The 17,290-nt window shown below is 39.8% G+C and overlaps 1 protein-coding gene across 6 annotated transcripts in view; it reads right to left on the reverse strand.

Moving 5' to 3' along the window:
* The window catches only part of NEMF (nuclear export mediator factor), a 70,706-nt gene that overhangs the window by 6,647 nt on the left and 46,769 nt on the right, over positions 1–17,290 (reverse strand). For 5 of the 6 annotated variants that reach the window (NM_001301732.3, NM_004713.6, XM_047431912.1 and 2 more), the window contains 9 exons: positions 14,508–14,565; positions 13,940–13,998; positions 13,724–13,844; positions 11,691–11,967; positions 10,907–10,949; positions 10,746–10,795; positions 7,062–7,215; positions 767–844; positions 417–614 (listed from right to left, as the gene is read on the reverse strand). In NM_001301732.3, coding sequence (NP_001288661.2) covers positions 417–614; positions 767–844; positions 7,062–7,215; positions 10,746–10,795; positions 10,907–10,949; positions 11,691–11,967; positions 13,724–13,844; positions 13,940–13,998; positions 14,508–14,565 — 1,038 coding nt within the window. Of the gene's footprint in view, positions 1–416; positions 615–766; positions 845–7,061; positions 7,216–7,503; positions 7,600–10,745; positions 10,796–10,906; positions 10,950–11,690; positions 11,968–13,723; positions 13,845–13,939; positions 13,999–14,507; positions 14,566–17,290 lie in introns of those variants that run through there. The other variant, XR_943557.4, reaches the window with a different exon arrangement.

Raw genomic sequence — 17,290 nt, forward strand, 5'->3', positions numbered from 1 at the left:
TATTTTTTTAGTAGAGACAGGGTTTCACCACGTTAGCCAGCATGGTCTCAATCTCCTGACCTTGTGATCTGCCTGCCTTGGCCTCTCAAAGTGCTGGGATTACAGGCGTGAGCCACCGTGCCAGGCCTCTCTGTCTTAATTTAATTCAGTTCCCATCAGAATCAAAGCCTCTCCTTAAAACTGATTACTTCCTAAAGGCTTGTAACAAAATTGTTATCAGCTATCAGTACTACCATTATCATGCTTAGATAAGATACTGCAATTTTAGTCTTTCAGGTTGTATTTCTGGATGACATTCCATTAAGAATAGGGTTACTCACTTGTCTTGGTTTTAGCACTGAAAGTCCCATGTCCTGGGAACTCCAGGATGGGTAATCACCCTAATTAAGAAGCAGAAGCCCACAAAGTAGCCATACCTTGTCATCATGTGGATCATCTACAGCAAAGTCTTGTAACTCATGAGTTATAACCTCAAGGAACGGAGTTTCTTTCTTAATGTTGTCAGAGACCCTCTGTCCACCTCTAGGTTTCTGGGGCTGTTTCTTCACAGGTTCGTCCTTTGTTTTTCCTTTCTTCCCCTTCTTCCCTTTTTCTTCTTTGTTTGAACCTGCAGACTTTAATTCATAGAGGAAACATCAGTCAGTGTTGTATTTTCAATACTGTGAATATTTTAACAAGAATGTATTGAATGCCTGTCATACGCTAGGCAGTGGGCTAGATGCCCATTTGAAAAGCAAAAGAAAAAATGTTTTTAGATGTTATTTACCCCCAGCAACTTCATGATAAGTTCACGGTCTTCTTCATCCTGGTCTTTGTATTTTTCTTTCATTTTTTTCATTTTACTCTACAAAATCAGAAGATTTTGGTTGGAAATATTCAGCAGCAAAAAAATGTCAACAAATACTTGCAAAGAAATGGTGTTACTTTATATTCTCTGTCAAAAATGCTTACTGAATAAGGCACCATTATAATAAACAATATGAAGGCTACAAAGTTGGATAACTGAAGTCCTCATCTTCAAGGAATTTACCATAGGGTGGAGAGAAGATACACAGAGAAGTAAGAATACATTAACAAAACATAAAGAACTGTGAGGAAGAAATAAAGTAAAACAGTATTGGAAAAGCAAGTCTAAAAAGGAAGAGAACAGTAATAGCAAGTCATCACATTTGGTTTGGGTCAGGGTACACATGGAGGAAGAACAGGAAATAAAGCAGCAAAGCTAGGCTAGGCACTTATTCTAGAGGCTTTCAAGACTCTGTATTTTATTAAATAAACCAATGATTCTTTACCCTGATTACATCCCCAAATCACTCTAGGGGTTTTAAACTATAAACATCTAGGCCCCACCCTAGAGATTTTTGTCTTGATTAACTGTGTTAACTGGGACTGAAATAACACATTTTGAAAATTGTAAATTTGTGTCCCTAAACAGGACACAAACACCGTAAAAGACTGATACATCAGACTCAATTAGAATTTAAAAATGCTACTCATCAAAAAAGACTATTAAAAAGTGAAAAACAGCAATCCCCAAAGTGTGAAAAACGCTTGCAATACATATATCCGAGAAAGGACTTGTATTCAGGATTGCAGAGAACCCTTATACATCAACTAGAAAGACAGGACAAACCAATTTTTAAAATAGGCACTTCGAAAGAGGATACACAAAGGTCCAAAAAACATGAGAAAGCGCTCAATATCATTAGTCATCAGGAACATGAAATAAAAGCCAAATGAGCTATCAGCATATACACACTTAAATGACTGAAAAAAGAAAACAATACCAAGTGTTACTACGGATGGGGGACAACTGGAACTCTCATACACTGCCTGGTGGGAAATTGATACAGGTGCTCTGGAAAACTGATTGACAGGATCTAATAAAGGCAAACAACATGTATGCCACAACCCAGAAAATTCCACTCATATGTATATGAACAGAAATGCATACTTAGGGATCCAAAAGTCATGTGAGGGTCTGGCACGGTGGCTCACACCTGTAATCCCAACACTTTGGGAGGTCTGGGTAGGTGGATCACCTGAGGTCAGGAGTTCAAGACCAGCCTGACCAACATGGTGAAACACCATCTCTACCAAAAATACAAACAAAATTAGCCAGGCGTGGTGGTGCATGCCTGTAATCCCAGCTACTTGGGAGTCTGAGGTAGGAGAATCGCTTGAACCTGGGAGACAGAGGTTGCGGTGAGCCGAGATCATGCTATTGCACTCCAACCTGGGCAACAAGAGTAAAACTCTGTCTCAAAAAACAAAAAAAATGTCAAGTGGGGATATTCTTAGCAAGTGGCAAGCATGAGCCTTCTGGCTGGGCGCAGTGGCTCACGCCTGTAATCCCAGCACTTTGGGTGGCCGAGGCGGGTGGATCACAAGGTCAGGAGATCGAGACCATCCTGGCCAACATAAGTGAAACCCCGTCTGTACTAAAAATACAAAAATTAGCTGGGTGTGGTGGCGTGTGCCTGTAGTGCCAGCTACTCAGGAGGCTGAAGCAGGAGAATCGCTTGAACCCAGGAGGCAGAGGTTGCAGTGAGCTGAGATCACACCACTGTACTCCATCCAGGCTGGCAACACAGTGAGAACCCATCTCAGAAAAAAAGAAACTGGCAAGCAAGCATGAGCCTTCTGGGATGCTGGAAACATTCCAAGTAAAGTATCTGTATCTGAGTGGTGGTTTCACAGATGTGTGTGCTTATAAAAATTCACTGAGGCCAGGCATGGTGGCTCACGCCTGTAATCCCAGCACTTTGGGAGGCCGAGGCAGGCGGATCACAAGGTCAAGAGATCGAGACCATCCTGACCAACATGGTGAAACTCTGTCGCTACTAAAAATACAAAAAGTAGCTGGGCATAGTGGTGCACGCCTGTAGTCCCAGCTACTCAGAAGGCTGAGGCAGGAGAATTGCTTGAACCCAGGAGGCGGAGGTTGCAGTGAGCCGAGATCGCGCCACCGCACTCCAGCCTGGGCAACAGAGCGAGACTCCATTTAAAAAAAAAAAAAAAAAAAAAAAATTCACTGAGCCAAAGATTTGTGCATTTTACTACTATGTACACTGTACCTCAAAAAAAAATTGAGAAAGAATATTGTAACCAATAAACAGGACTGAGGAATGGAAAACCTGATGACAACAGAGTTTCTTAGAAAATACAACTTCGGAAAACCAACTTCAAAAAAAATCCCGGAAAACCTGAATAAACCTAAAATCATTAAAGAAATTGAAATTAGTTCTTACAAACCTCCTCAAAATAGCCAGGCATGGTGGCACACACCTGTGGTCTCAGCTACTAGGGAAGCTGAGATGGGAGGATTGCTTGAGCCCAGGAGGTCGAGGCTGCAGTGAGCCAAGATTGCAACACTACATCCCAGCCTGGGCAACAAAGTAAGACCCAGTCTAAAAAAAAAAAAAGTCTCCTCACAAAACCCAAAACATTAGGTCTAGTTTTATAAGCAAATGCTATCCAATTTCAAGGAACAATCTCCGTTTTTTGACAGAGTTCTTGCTCTGTCACCCAGGCTGGAGTGCAGTGCATGACCTTGGCTCATTGCAACCTCTGCCTCCCAGGCTCAAGCAATTATCCTGCCTCAGCCTCCAAGAAGCTGGGACCTACAGGTCCCACCACACCCGGCTAATTTTTGTATTTTTAATACAGATGGGGTTTCACCATGTTAGCCAGGCAGGTCTTGAACTCCTGACCTCAGGTGACCCAACTGCCTCAGCCTCCCAAAGTGCTGGGATTACAGGCATGAGCCACCGTGCCCAGCCACAATCTCCATTTTATACAAAGTTCTAGAGAGCAGAAAAAGAGGGAAAGGTCCTAAACTTATTTTATGAAACTGGTATAATGTAAACACAAAAAACAGGCAGAGACGGTATGAGAAATTAGAAGCCAATTAATATATTTTTCTCAACTAATATACCATACTGACTAACAGATAAAATAATACAATAGTCTGGGCATGGTGGCTTATGCCTGTTAATTTTAGCACTTTTGGATAACAAGCAGGAGGATAACTTGAGCCTAGGAGTTAGACCAGCCTGGGCAAATAGGAAGAGCCTGTCTCTAAAAATAATAAAAATAAAAATTAGCCAGACATGGTGGCACATGCCTGTGATCCCAGCTGTTTGGGAAGCTGAGGTATTAGGATGGTTTGGGCCCAGGAGATCGAGGCTGCAGTGAGCCATAACCACACCACTGCAGTCCAGCCTGGGCAACAGAGTGACACCCTGTCTCAAAAAAACAAACAAAAAGAATGCAATAGACACAGAAAAACCATTCAGTAACATTTAACTCATCGTTATTAAAAATAACTTTCAAAAAGGTGTCCTTCAACAACCCAAAGGAAACATCCCGCAATGATAAAATCTTAGAAACAGTTCCTGTAATGGAATTAACAAAGATATACACGATTACTACTTCTATGAAACATTATATTTTTGCTTTTCAGTCACTGCAAAAAAAAACATGGGGAAAATAAAAAGATATTAAGACTAGAAGAAAAGCCATAATTTGCAGACGATATGACTGCCTACAGATGAAGTATTAAAATTAGTAAGTGCTCTATAAGATTGCCCATTACTTGATCAACATGAAAGTTGTCTTCCCATGTACCAGCAAGTAACAGCTAGGAAATGAAAGTTTCAAAAATAGGTAGGGCGCAGTGGCTCAAGTCTGTAATCCCAACACTTTGGGAGGCTGAGGCGGGCAGATTGCTCAGTTATAGTTTTATAATTGCACAATTATAGTTTTCCACAGGAAGACTCAAAGTGGTAAAAATGACAATTCCCCAGAAAATAATCTAAAAGTTTAATGTATTTTAATAAACATTCTATCAGGATTTGCCTTGAAACTTAACCTATCTGCAGAATATTTCATTGTAAAAATGCATCATTTATTGTTATTTCACATTGTTGTACACTTAAGATTAATTGCAGTATTTTTTTGCTACTACAAATATAAACTTCAACGTCCTCGTTGCGTACCCATAATTTTTTTTAGGATAAATTCCTATAAGAGGAATTGCTGAGTCAAAGGGCAGAAGCACTGTTAAGACTTTTGACTGGAATTCCCATGTTGTACACTCAAACTGACAATGTAGTATCTATTAATTTGATGGGTAAAAAAAATTCCCCAGGTTTACACAGCATTTCTGTCATCACTTTTTTTTTTTTCCAGATTTGTCATTTGTTTTTTAATTTTACTGGTGGTTCTTTACTTTCTCCACCTGCAATTCACTGTGGTACCGTTTTCACATGGTTAGCCATCATTTTGAATATTTCATATCTTCTCAAATGATCTACAATATTATTTTATCACGTACTAAAATGCTAAATATCAGGTAGTGGTCCTCTGTCTAGATTTTATTCTGTCTCATTTTTTTCTGTCTAGCTATTCCTATGTTAATAACATGCTGTTGTAAAAATTCTAGCATTAAATATTTTACTACCTCATAGGGAAATCCCTCCTTATTTCCTTAGCTATTCTCAAGCATTACTCCTTCCAAAATAAATTTACAATTATTTTATCAAGCATTAAAATCTCAATTCTGATTAAAGTCATGTTGAATTTACATATGAGGGGAATTTATATTTTTATTAGGTTGAGTCTTCCCTTCCTTATGCACATGTCATTTGCAGCTCACTGGAAAAAAGCATAGGAAAATCTGACCTGTATGGAAGAAGGAAAGATCATAAAACATCTTTATAAAGATTATAGCCTAGTGTGGTGGCATGCACTTGTGGTCCCAGCTACTTAGGAGGCTGAGGTAGGAGGAATGCGTGAGCCCAGGAGTTCAAAGCTGTAGTATGCTACAAACATGCCTGTAAATAGCCACTACACTCCAGCCTGGGCAACAGAGCAAGACCCTGTCTCTAAAAAAAAAAAAAAAAAAAAATTGAAAAGAAATTTAAATTTTAAAAGGGGTACACTGATAAATTAGCCCATAATCCCCTCATTTTTATACTGCTACAGCTTTTTTTTTTTTTTTGAGACAGGCGAGTCTCGCCATGTCACCCAGGCTGCGGTGCAGTGGCGTGATCTTGGCTCACTGCAACCTCCGCCTCCTGGGTTCAAGCAATTCTTCTGCCTCAGCCTCTCGAGTAGCTGGGACTATAGGCATGTACCACCATGCCTGGCTAATTTTTCTATATTTAGTAGAGATAGGGTTCACCATGTTGGATAGGCTGGTCTTGAACTCCTGGCCTCAAGTGATCCACCTGCCTCAGCCTCCCAAAGTGCTGAGATTACACGCATGAGCCACTGTGCCTGGCTGCTACAGCATTTTGAAGAGTGTATTATATCATAACCAGACATGGTGGCTAACACACCTCTAGTTACAAGCACTTTGGGAGGGTGAGGCAGGAAGATCACTTGAGCCTGGGAGTTTGAGACCAGCCCAGACAATATAGTTAGACCCCATCGTTACAAAAAATAAAAAAATTTAGCTGAGCATGGTGGCATGCACCTGTGCGGTCCCAGCTACTTGGAAGACTGAGATGGGAGGATCACTTGAGCCTAGGAGTTAAGGCTAGTGCAGTGAGCCCTGACTGCACCACTGCATTCCAGCGTGGGTGACAGAGCAAGACTATCTTGGGGGAGCTGACAGCGGGGTTGGGGGGTGGGGAGGTGGGGGCAGGGGCAGTGTGGAAAGAGTATGTTCTATCATAAGTACTTCTTTCTTCACCATCCACCTTTAGCAAAATATCTAAGAACTCTAACCAAAATCTAAAAATTACTGAGCTAAATTCTCAATAAATATCAGCTCTGCTACTTAACTAGCTGGGTGACTTTGGCAAGCCATAATCTCCTATTACTCTTCCAGATAAAATGAGAGCTTCTGTGCAGATGATCTTGAAAGTCTAAAGAACTTCTAATAGTGATCTCTGTGTTCCCTAAATGCTGTATCTACTCAACTAATTTTTAGTCAAAGGAAATCACACAGGATTATTTTTTGGCCTACATTTTCTATTTCACTTCAACTTTAAAAAATTAAAAAGGAACCTCACAAATTAACTGTGAACCATATAGATCATCCTGAAGTTTACCTTTTGTCCTCGTTTCATTGGCTGCACAGCCGCAACATTTTTGCTTGTGTTCTGATGAGTTTCAATGTGTACAGTACTTTCTTTTTCTTTATCCTTTCCCTCTAACGCTTCTAAATCTCCTGAGTCACTTGGAAGTTTTTTCTTTTTCATTTCCCTGAATAAAAAAGACATGAAAACATTTCATTCTTAGAATTTGAAATTCTTAGTGCCCTAAAAAAGTTCCATGGGGAAGGCACATATACAGTATATAAATGGTCATGGCTTCTGCTTCACTTGATAATCACCAAGTTAGAAAATACAAAGATGCTTAAAATCATCATGTGGGAAAAAGATGCAAGTTTTTCATCTCTCATGGATTTATCTTTCTTTCCATCATCCAAGCTCAACATATTGTCACCCCTGACTCATCCTTACTCACTAGGCACATTTTGCCCCTGATCACCTTGATGGCCAGGCACTGGGATTTGTAGTCTTTGTACCAACATAGCATTGGCAGGTCTTAGGCATTCAATAAAACATCTGTTGACCGGTTGGTTGACTAAATGGATTAAAAATACACAGGTTAAGAAGGAAGGGTAAATTTTATTACTGTGGTATTCTTCTTTCTGTTCCCAATGCCAACGTCTTAGTTCAGGTCCTCATTACATCCCACCCAGACTTCCTCCAGAGTCTACATACTCTGAATTTTTTTTTTTTAAAACGGAGTTTGTGCCACCACACCCAGTTAACTTTGTATTTTTAGTAGATATGGGGTTTCACCATGTTGGTCAGGCTGGTCTCAAACTTCTGACCTCAGGTGATCTATTCGCCTTGGCCTCCCAAAGTGCTGGGATTATAGGCGTGAGCCACCACATCCGGCCATTAACTTCTATATTAATCTTCCTTAATCATTTGCCTATGTCACATTCTCTTCGTATCACTTTAAAGGGTATAGTCCAAAATCCTTAGCTTTTAAGTACTCCACTTTTAGTCCAAATTTACTTCTCCAATCATATTATCTACCATTTAATACACAAACTTTCTCTTCCTTCCAACTCAGTCTATTTATCATTTCCCCAAAGCACTATGCATATTACCCCAAAGAAGCACTCCCCTTTGTTAATGCTAATTCTCCTTGGAGTCTCCCTCCTTCATTTACTTAACTGCTAACATATCTTTCAAGGTATACTTCTGATGTTATTTCCCCAAACATCTGAACTCACAGCAATCTCTTACTCTTGAACTACTTTATCACTTTCAGACACTATTTACATATTTATGACTACTTCCTGAATCCAGGACTCAAAAGCTTCTTGAAGGCATGAGCTTTATACTTCACCTCTTTGTATACTCAGTAAGTATCTAGCACAGGGCTATGTGCTCAGAATTCTCTGTAATTGTTCAATGATTATGTTTCTCAAATGAAAAGGCTTTATTGTCCATTCTGTTCTAGGGCCTCTTCCTGGAGTGCTTTAGTTTGCTTAGTCTTTCCCACCCTACAGTAGTTGTTCCCTTCCCTTCCGCCCTTCCCTTGCTTCTACTTGCTTCCTGAGACCTGCTATTAAAAAAAAAAAAAAAATCGGCCAGGCGCGGTGGCTCACACCTGTAATCCAGCACTTTGGGAGGCCAAGGCGGGTGGATCGCGAGGTCAGAAGATCGAGACAATCCTGCCTAACACGGTGAAACCCCATCTCTACTAAAAATACAAAAACAAAATTAGCCGGGCGTGGTGGTGGGTGCCTGTAGTCCCAGCTACTCGGGAGGCTAAGGCAGGAGAATAGCATGAATCTGGGAGGCAGAGCTTGCAGTGAGCCGAGATCGCAGCCACTGCGCTCCAGCCTGGGCCACAGAGCGAGACTCCGTCTCAAAAAAAACAAAAAACAAAAAATCAACTATTCTGCCTTACATAAAACTTTCCTAATTTCAGGTATTCATATTTATTCCTGACAATATCACCCTAGAACTAGTCTATGTAATACACTGAAATCATTATTGTACATGTTTATGTAATAAAAGGTCTTATTAGAGCTAGTCCTCAAATAACATCATTTCATTCAACATCATTGTGTTATAACTTTGATGAGAACAAAATTGATTCCTGGCCACGGCTACCATCTGTGCAGAGTTTACATGTTCTCCCCATGTCTTTGTGGGTTTTCACCAGGTACTCAGGTTTTCTCTCACATCCCAAAATGCGCATGTCAGGTTAACTGGTGTGTGTAAATTATCCCAGCATGAATGAGTGCAGGTATGTGTGCCCTGCAACAGAATGACATCCTGTTCTAGGTTGGTTCTGGCCTTTTGCCCTGACCTGCCAGGATAGGCTCTAGCCACCAATGACCCTTAACTGGAATAAGCGGTTGAAAAACGAATGAATGAATGAATGAATGACTTAATAAAAATGATTGTCAAAAATTCATAAACTATAGTCATACAAATGTATAACAATCAACAATGTAGTATGAAAGTGTTTAATGAATGTGCCACATTTTTGTTTTTGAACCTCATGGTAGTAGGAGGTACTCTATAGTTTTCACTTTGCAAATAATCCTTGATTTAACCCACTACCACTACAACTGCCATCACTCATTGATTTACCAAAAATTGGGTAAATAATTATCTTGCTCGCTTTCATTCATCTTTCTTAAATATACATACAGTTTACATTTATTTTAACGTTTAATATTAGAAGAGTTTTCAGTCTTTATTTAGAAGCTTGGTGATGGTTTTGTGACCAAAAATATGCCAGAGGAACTTAACTCTTGTTTATATCAATTAGCCCATGGCAAAACTGGTTTCATTACACACTGTTTCCCTTAAGTCCAAGTTTCCAAGAACCTATTGAAAATGTTAAGTGGGCCAGGCGCGGTGGCTTATGCCTATAATCCCAGCACTTTCGGAGGCCAAAGCGGGTGATCACGAGGTCAGAAGATCGAGACTATCCTGGCTAACACGGTGAAACCCCGTCTCTACTAAAAATACAAAAAATTAGCCGGGCATGGTGGTGGGCGCCTCTAGTCCCAGCTACTCGGGAGGCTGAGGCAGGAGAACGGCGTGAACCCGGGAGGTGGGGCTTGCAGTGAGCCGAGATCATGCCACTGCACTCCAGCCTGGGCGACAGAGCGAGACTCCATCTCAAAAAAAAAGAAAATGTTAAGTGAAGGCCGGGCACAATGGCTCATGTCTGTAATCCCAGCACTTTGGGCAGCCAAGGTGGGAGGATCACTTGAGCCCAGGGGTTTAAGACCAGCCTGGGCAACATGATGAAACCCTGTCTCTACAAAAACTATAAAAATTTTTGTAGTGGCACACGCCTGTAGTCCCAGCTACTCAGGAGGCTGAAGCAGGAGACTGCCTGAGCCTGGGAGTTTGAGGCTGCAGTGAGCCATGACTGCGCCATAGCACTCTAGCCTGGGCAACAAAGCGAGACCCTGTTTCAAAAAAAAAAAAAAAAAAAAAAAAAAGGAAAATGTTAAGTGAGGACTTACTCTACTAGGTCTATTTCATTGATTATAGTTATAGATTAGGGCCCTTAAACAGAAAAATGTATTAGAGCTTAATATTAAAAACTAAACATTTGTGCTAAATCTTGGTAAATTTAATGAAGGAAGTCTTTAAACAGCTAAGTAATCTGTGGTAGCTGAGCTATCAATTAAAAAAAAAAGAAAAACATGCTTTTTAGTTAATTAACACAGATGTGTTTACCTTCTTTCCTTGGCTGACAAATGTCTCCGGCTCTGTGATTTACTGTCACTCTATTAAAACAAAAAAACAGGCAAATGCAAATATCACTATTAACTTTTTTGAAAAGTAGAAAATTATTCACTGAGAATCGGATGTTCTTCATAAAACTGAAAATAGCTTACAGAATTAGAAGATTCCTCTTTTGAAGCCAATTTCTGGATGGACCTATGAAAATAAACACAAGGGAGTCTCTACTAGCCTGTAAAAGACATGCATTTACAAAGTCCCAAAACATTCCCATATCATACTCTTAAGTACTGGCAATCCAACAAATTTTCAAATTTGGTGAAGTGAGAAAAACATACAACCAAATTGCTCCTCTCTCCACACTTCCATATACATTTTTAAATAGGTGACGTGTATTGAAAACTTACTGTGTGTCAGGCACTGCCAGATGGTATACACGCATGAAACCTTCACCAAATCCCTATGAAAGGGATACCATTCTGTTTTCACCAAGAAGGAAACTGAAGCTTAAGCACAAAGTAATTTTCCCAAGGACGCACCCTAAGACCCAATACTGGTCTGTCTGACTCCTAGACTGTTCTGAATTACCCCTAAGTTAATTATGCATTTATAACTATGGACTATTCACCTGATGATCTGCAAAACATTATATAGACTAAAACACATTTCTTTGATGGAATTGCCTTTGTTATGTTTTTAGCATTTATAACCATTTACTTGTTTCTATTTGGATCTAGTTTGGCCACTCTATATGCACTGTATTTTTCTACCCTGGTCCTGGGAATTTCTTTGCAGAGAGACCCAATCAAATGTTGAAAAAGTATTAAGACAATGGAGTGTAAAAGTACTGATGTCAATCTTGGTATTATCTTTGTAAGGATTACCTCATCATCATTCTCAGCTTACACAATAATATGTAAAATTTTATTTTTTAATTACCTTTGGGGTTGAAGGTGAGACAAGTCAATGGTAGTATCAGGATAATTTAATGTCTCTTCCCCTTCATCCTTCATTTCACCAACAGAATCCTGATCTTTTCTAACCTCTTCATATTCTCCTTCGTCTTCAGAGCTTTCTTCCTGAATGAGCTCCTCATTTAGTTCATCTCTGCCACTCTGAAGAGTGATATCCTCTTGGTCAACCTGAGTCATGAGTTCTACTTCCACAGGAGTTTCATGTTCTTCTTTATCCTCATCACTGCTCGTGTCACCTCCATCTGTAGAATTATCATAAGGAAAGTCAGTGTGGGACTACCAACCAAGCCAGGTGATTTCCTAAAAATGTCATAAAAATATTCCACTGTTTCTCCCATATTTCTCCAAAAAATCAACAGAAAAGTGTCTGATCATTCCCAAAGGGTACTCTTAGACAAAAGAATAACCTGTATCATGAATAGGTTGAACTAAATGATCTCCAAGATCCTTTACCACAATAAATTTCTTGGACATTGCTACCCTTTCAACAATGAAAACCACAACTCTGCCTTAGTTGGGTATTTCCAAAAACCAAGACAGCAAAATTAGTTGCATAACTTTTGCTGCTTTTATTATAATTTGCACATAAAAACTTAAATACGTATTATATAACGCCCACATAGCAGGTGCTCATTCTTCTGCAAAAGGAACACTGTCTAATAGTAGTAACAGGGTCTACTGCCTCACCTGTAAAATGAGATGCCACCACTCATCTGACAAGGATGGTTGTGAGAATAGAAAATAATGTAAATAGGCCAGGTGCAGTGGCTCATGCCTGTAATCCTAGCACTCTGGGAGGCCGAGGTGGGTGGATCACAAGGTCAGGAGTACAAGACCAGCCTGGCCAAGATGGTGAAACCCCGTCTCTACTAAAAATACAAAAATTAGCCAGGCGTGGTGGCAGGCGCCTGTAATCCTAGCTACTCGGGAGGCTGAGGCAGAAGAATTGCTAGAACCTGGGCGGCAGAGGTTGCAGTGAGCCGAGATTGTGCCACTGCACTCCAGCCTGGCGACAGACTGAGACTCCCTCTCGGGGGGAAAAAAAAAAAGAAAAGAATGTAAATAAGGCACTTTATACAGTCCCAGGGAAATGGTGAGCCTCAATCAACAAAATCTTGCAGCACAACAGTAATAGTAAATGAAACAATGCAATATTACCTGTAAAGAGGAATGACCTTAGCAGAGAGAATAACTACAAAAGTAGTTTAGTGGGAATATTTTCCCTAGTTTCCTCAGGTAGGCAGATGAATTTATTCCAGCAACTATAATTGCTCTCTACTTGAAACAAATATTTTATTAAATCAAGCCAAATTTTCATATGAGAAACTGCACTTTATAAATTCATCTATCACTTGTAATTCCTAAACCCAAAACTAAATGCTAATGCACATTTACCCGAGTCTACCTTTGTTAAACACATTTATGCATTACCCATTAAATACTGAAGTCTCACTATATAAACATACATTAAAGTATGTTAGTATGGATCCAATTAAATACTTTTTTTTTTTTTTTGAGACAGGGTCTCATTCTGTGGCCCAGGCTGGAGTGCAGTGGCAGTGGCGTGATCTAGGCTCACTGTAACCTCTGCCTCCCAGGTTCAAGCAATCCTCCTACCTCAGCCTCTTCAGTAGCTGGGACTATAGGCGCTCACAACGCCTGGGTGATTTTTTTGGTAGAGATGGTTTTGCCATGTTGCCCAGGCTGGTCTCAAACTCCTGAGCTCTAGCAATCCACCTGCCTCGGACTCCCAAAAGTGCTGGGATTACAGACATGAGCCACAATGCCCGGACTGATAAATACTTTTAAATTCACTAGAATAAGTATATTTAGCATTTCCAAAAAAAAAAAAATTCAGTAAAACAGCACGTACTTTGGGTTTTCGGGGTTTTTTTGAAATTTAGATTATCCCAAAGAGACATGATCTTCTAAGGATTTAGAAGCAAAACTAGGTAACAAAAAACATCACAAGCTAATTTCTTAAAATCTATAAACTACCTAATTGTTCCATTTCTTCTGATATGAGTTCACTTGTACAACTTGCCAGTGTCTCCATGTCTTCATCCTGTACTCTGACTTTTCGTTCACCCTGATGTCTCCAAACACAAGACTCATCTACCTAAAGAAACAGTTATTTTTCAGTGACGGAGCTTCAGACAAGACTAATGAAAATCAGGAAAAAAACAAATAAATAACCAAGAAGTTGAAGAGTACCTTAAAAAGGAAGCTAAACCCCATCATTAGATATGAGGGAGGAAGAAAATTCTTTTTTCCTACAAAAGATAACGTACATTAATGCTTTGAAAATCAGTCTTCTCCATTTTTTGCTTGTAAAACAAAAAAAAATTAGTGTCAGATGACACTAATGGTCATATCCATTTTGTCTTTTACTATGTCAAGAATAACATTTCCCATTTATAGAACTGGGCAGTATGTATAGGAACAGTTATTAAGAAGTAAAAAATATACACACTTGCTCTGATATTCTGGGTCAGTCAGACCCTGAATATTCTATTTTCAGAAATAAGTTCAGGCTATCCTTTCTTACCCTTATAACTAAACTATGTGAAAGTGCACTGCCCTCAATAAAAATATACATGAAGAAGATATGACAAACACTAAACTTGTCACACCAAGGCAAAAATTTCTTTACTTCATAGCAGACTTCACATAGGAAATCCGAGTAATTTGTTTTTGTTCTAAGAGTATTTGTAAACTGTCTCAAACCTGTCTCCATAATCCATTGACAAGTCTAGTGATATTTTTCCTGTCAAGACATTACCTCTTATCATGAAGCTTCCTGTTGTCAAATATTCTCCAGTTGGTGCTGTTTTAGATACCTGAAGAACACAATAATACATTATATTCTTATTTAAAAAAATACTCTAGTTTTCTTTTTCCACTTGAGGAGAAAGTAAAGTCAGAGTCAAGTAAGCCACACTGTCTTCTGAAAAGTTTATAATTTCGTACAAATTCTCAATACTAAAGGGAAAGATACCCCTTTAATGACAGATAAGCCTTTGGAAGTAACAAAGAAAAAAACAAAGAATCCACTACATCAATAATTTTCTTTCTTTTTTTTTTTTTTTGAGATGAAGTCTCACTCTGTTGCCCAAGCTGAAGTGCAGTGGCACAATCTCGGCTCACTGTAACCTCCACCTCCTTGGTTGAAGTGATTCTCCTGCCTCAGCCTCCTGAGTAGCTGGGACTACAGGCACGCACCACCATGCCCAGCTGATTTTTGTATTTTTAGTAGAGACGGGGTTTCACTATGTTGGCCAGGCTGGTCTTGAACTCCTAACCTCATGATCCGCCTGCCTCGGCCTCCCAAAGTGCTGGGATTACAGGCGTGAGCCACTATGCCCGGCAATAATTTTCAAATGCCATGGACGACAGCCAGAACTGGTCCACTCATCTCTTCCAGCATGAGATGTAATGAGAAAACTAAGGATAGGTTAATGAGCTTATCATAAAGCTATGTTTACTAAAATAAAGCTCTATTTATTAAATAAAATCCTTGTCTAAGATACTGTTTTTGATAATAAAGTTTTGCCTTTTTTTTTTTTTTGAGACAGAGTCTCACACTGTCACCCAGGCTGGAGTGCAGTGGCTTGATCTTGGCTCACTGCAATCTCCACCTCCCAGGTTCCAGAGATTCTCCTGCCTCAGCCTCCCAGGTACCTGGGATTACAGGTGCGCACCACCACGCCCGGCTAATTTTTGTATTTTTTAGTAGAGACGGGGTTTCACCATATTGGCCAGGCTGGCCTTGAACTCCTGACTTCATGATCTGCCCACCTTGGCCTTCCAAAGTGCTGGGATTACAGGCATGAGGCAAAAGTAACCTTTGTCTATATGAAATAGCAGATTTTTAAAAATATATCCTATTTTGGCAAAACAGAAAGTGAGTAAACTTATCCCATAATTTAAAAAAATTTTGGGGCCAGGTACAGTGGCTCACACCTGTAATCCCAGCACTCTGGGAGGCCAAGGCAGGTGGATTGTGAGGTCAGGAGTTCAAGACCAGCCTGGCTAAGATGGTGAAACCCTGTCTCTACTAAAATTAGCCAGGCGTGGTGGTGGGTGCCTATAATCCCAGCTACTCGGGAGGTTGAAGCAGAGAATTGCTTGAACCCAGGAGGCAGAGGTTGCAGTGAGCCGAGATCACGCCATTGCATTCTAGCCTGGGTGACAGAGCAACATTCCATCTCATAAAAAAAAAAAATTTATACATCTGTGAAACCCCCAAATCTTGAGAGTATCTTTATTAGTCATAGTTATTAAAATAGCAAGGGGCCAAGTGTGCTAGCTCATGCCTGTAATCCCAGCATTTTGGGAGGCGGAAGCAGGAGGATCACTTGAGGCCAGGAGTTTGAGACTGGCCTGGCCAACATGGCAAAACCCCATCTCTACAAAAATAGAAAAAGTAGCCAGGTATGGTGGGACACTCCTGTAGTCCCAGCTACTCAGGAGGCAGAGGCAGGAGAATCGCTTGAACCCAGGAGGCGGAGGCTGCAGTGAGCTAAGATTGCACCACTACACTCCAGCCTGGACAACAGAGCAAGACTCCATCTCAAAACGAACAAACAAACACAAAAAACCAGCAAGGGATTAAAAACACTAAATTTCATTCTAAAAAATTTCTTAATGAAAGAATTAAAACCACTTTTATAACAGCACTGAGGTAGCAATTTATAATCCCCCTATATGACAATATCACAGCACAGCATATAATATAAAAAGATATAAAAATGAAACTAAATCTAAGGGAGTATAATGAAACTGAATTCTTTTTATCCTACTGTACAGCTTTAGGAACTTATAAAAGTACATCATCATCAATTATAATTCTCAAAAGTATGATAAGAAATCAATAGCAATGTGAGGTCAAATATAGAATGAAGTATCACCAAACTCAACAGCACTGGCCAGGCACCATGGCTCATGCCTGTAATCTCAGCATTTTGGGAGGCTGAAGCAAGAGGACCACTTAAGGTCAGGAATTCGAGACCAGCTTGGCCAACATGGTGAAACCTCATCTCTATAAAGAAAAAAAAAAATGCAAAAAAACCCCAACAACATCATTAACCACAAAGAAGGGCAATTAATAAAAACAAGTGAATTTAAAAAAAAAAACAAACAGGATATGCCTACTTTTCTGGAAGTGCCCAAGAGAATTCAGAATATTCCAACAAAGATGAACAGAAGAAAGGCCTTTTAGGTCAGTATGCCAATAATAATCAATAATAACTGGAACACTCTTTATCCTGTATAATTGTGTGGATCACTCTCTCTTCATTTACCTCTCTGCTCAAATCCTACCTTCCTAGAAAGGTTCCCCCAATACTTCATCCAAAACGGTATCCCCTATCACTCTCTATCCCCTTCCATGCTTTTAAAAACACTATTTTATGGCACTTATTACCTGACATTATGTACATATTTTCCTCTACCAAAAAGAGTTAGCTCTATTGAGCCTTGTCTGCTTTATTTACTTCTATACTCTCAAAATTTGGCACACAGTAGCTCTTAGTAAATTAAGAAAAAGGACAAGAGCCCTTATTA

This window comes from Homo sapiens, chromosome 14 (assembly GCF_000001405.40).
Source record: "Homo sapiens chromosome 14, GRCh38.p14 Primary Assembly".
NCBI lineage: Eukaryota > Metazoa > Chordata > Mammalia > Primates > Hominidae > Homo > Homo sapiens.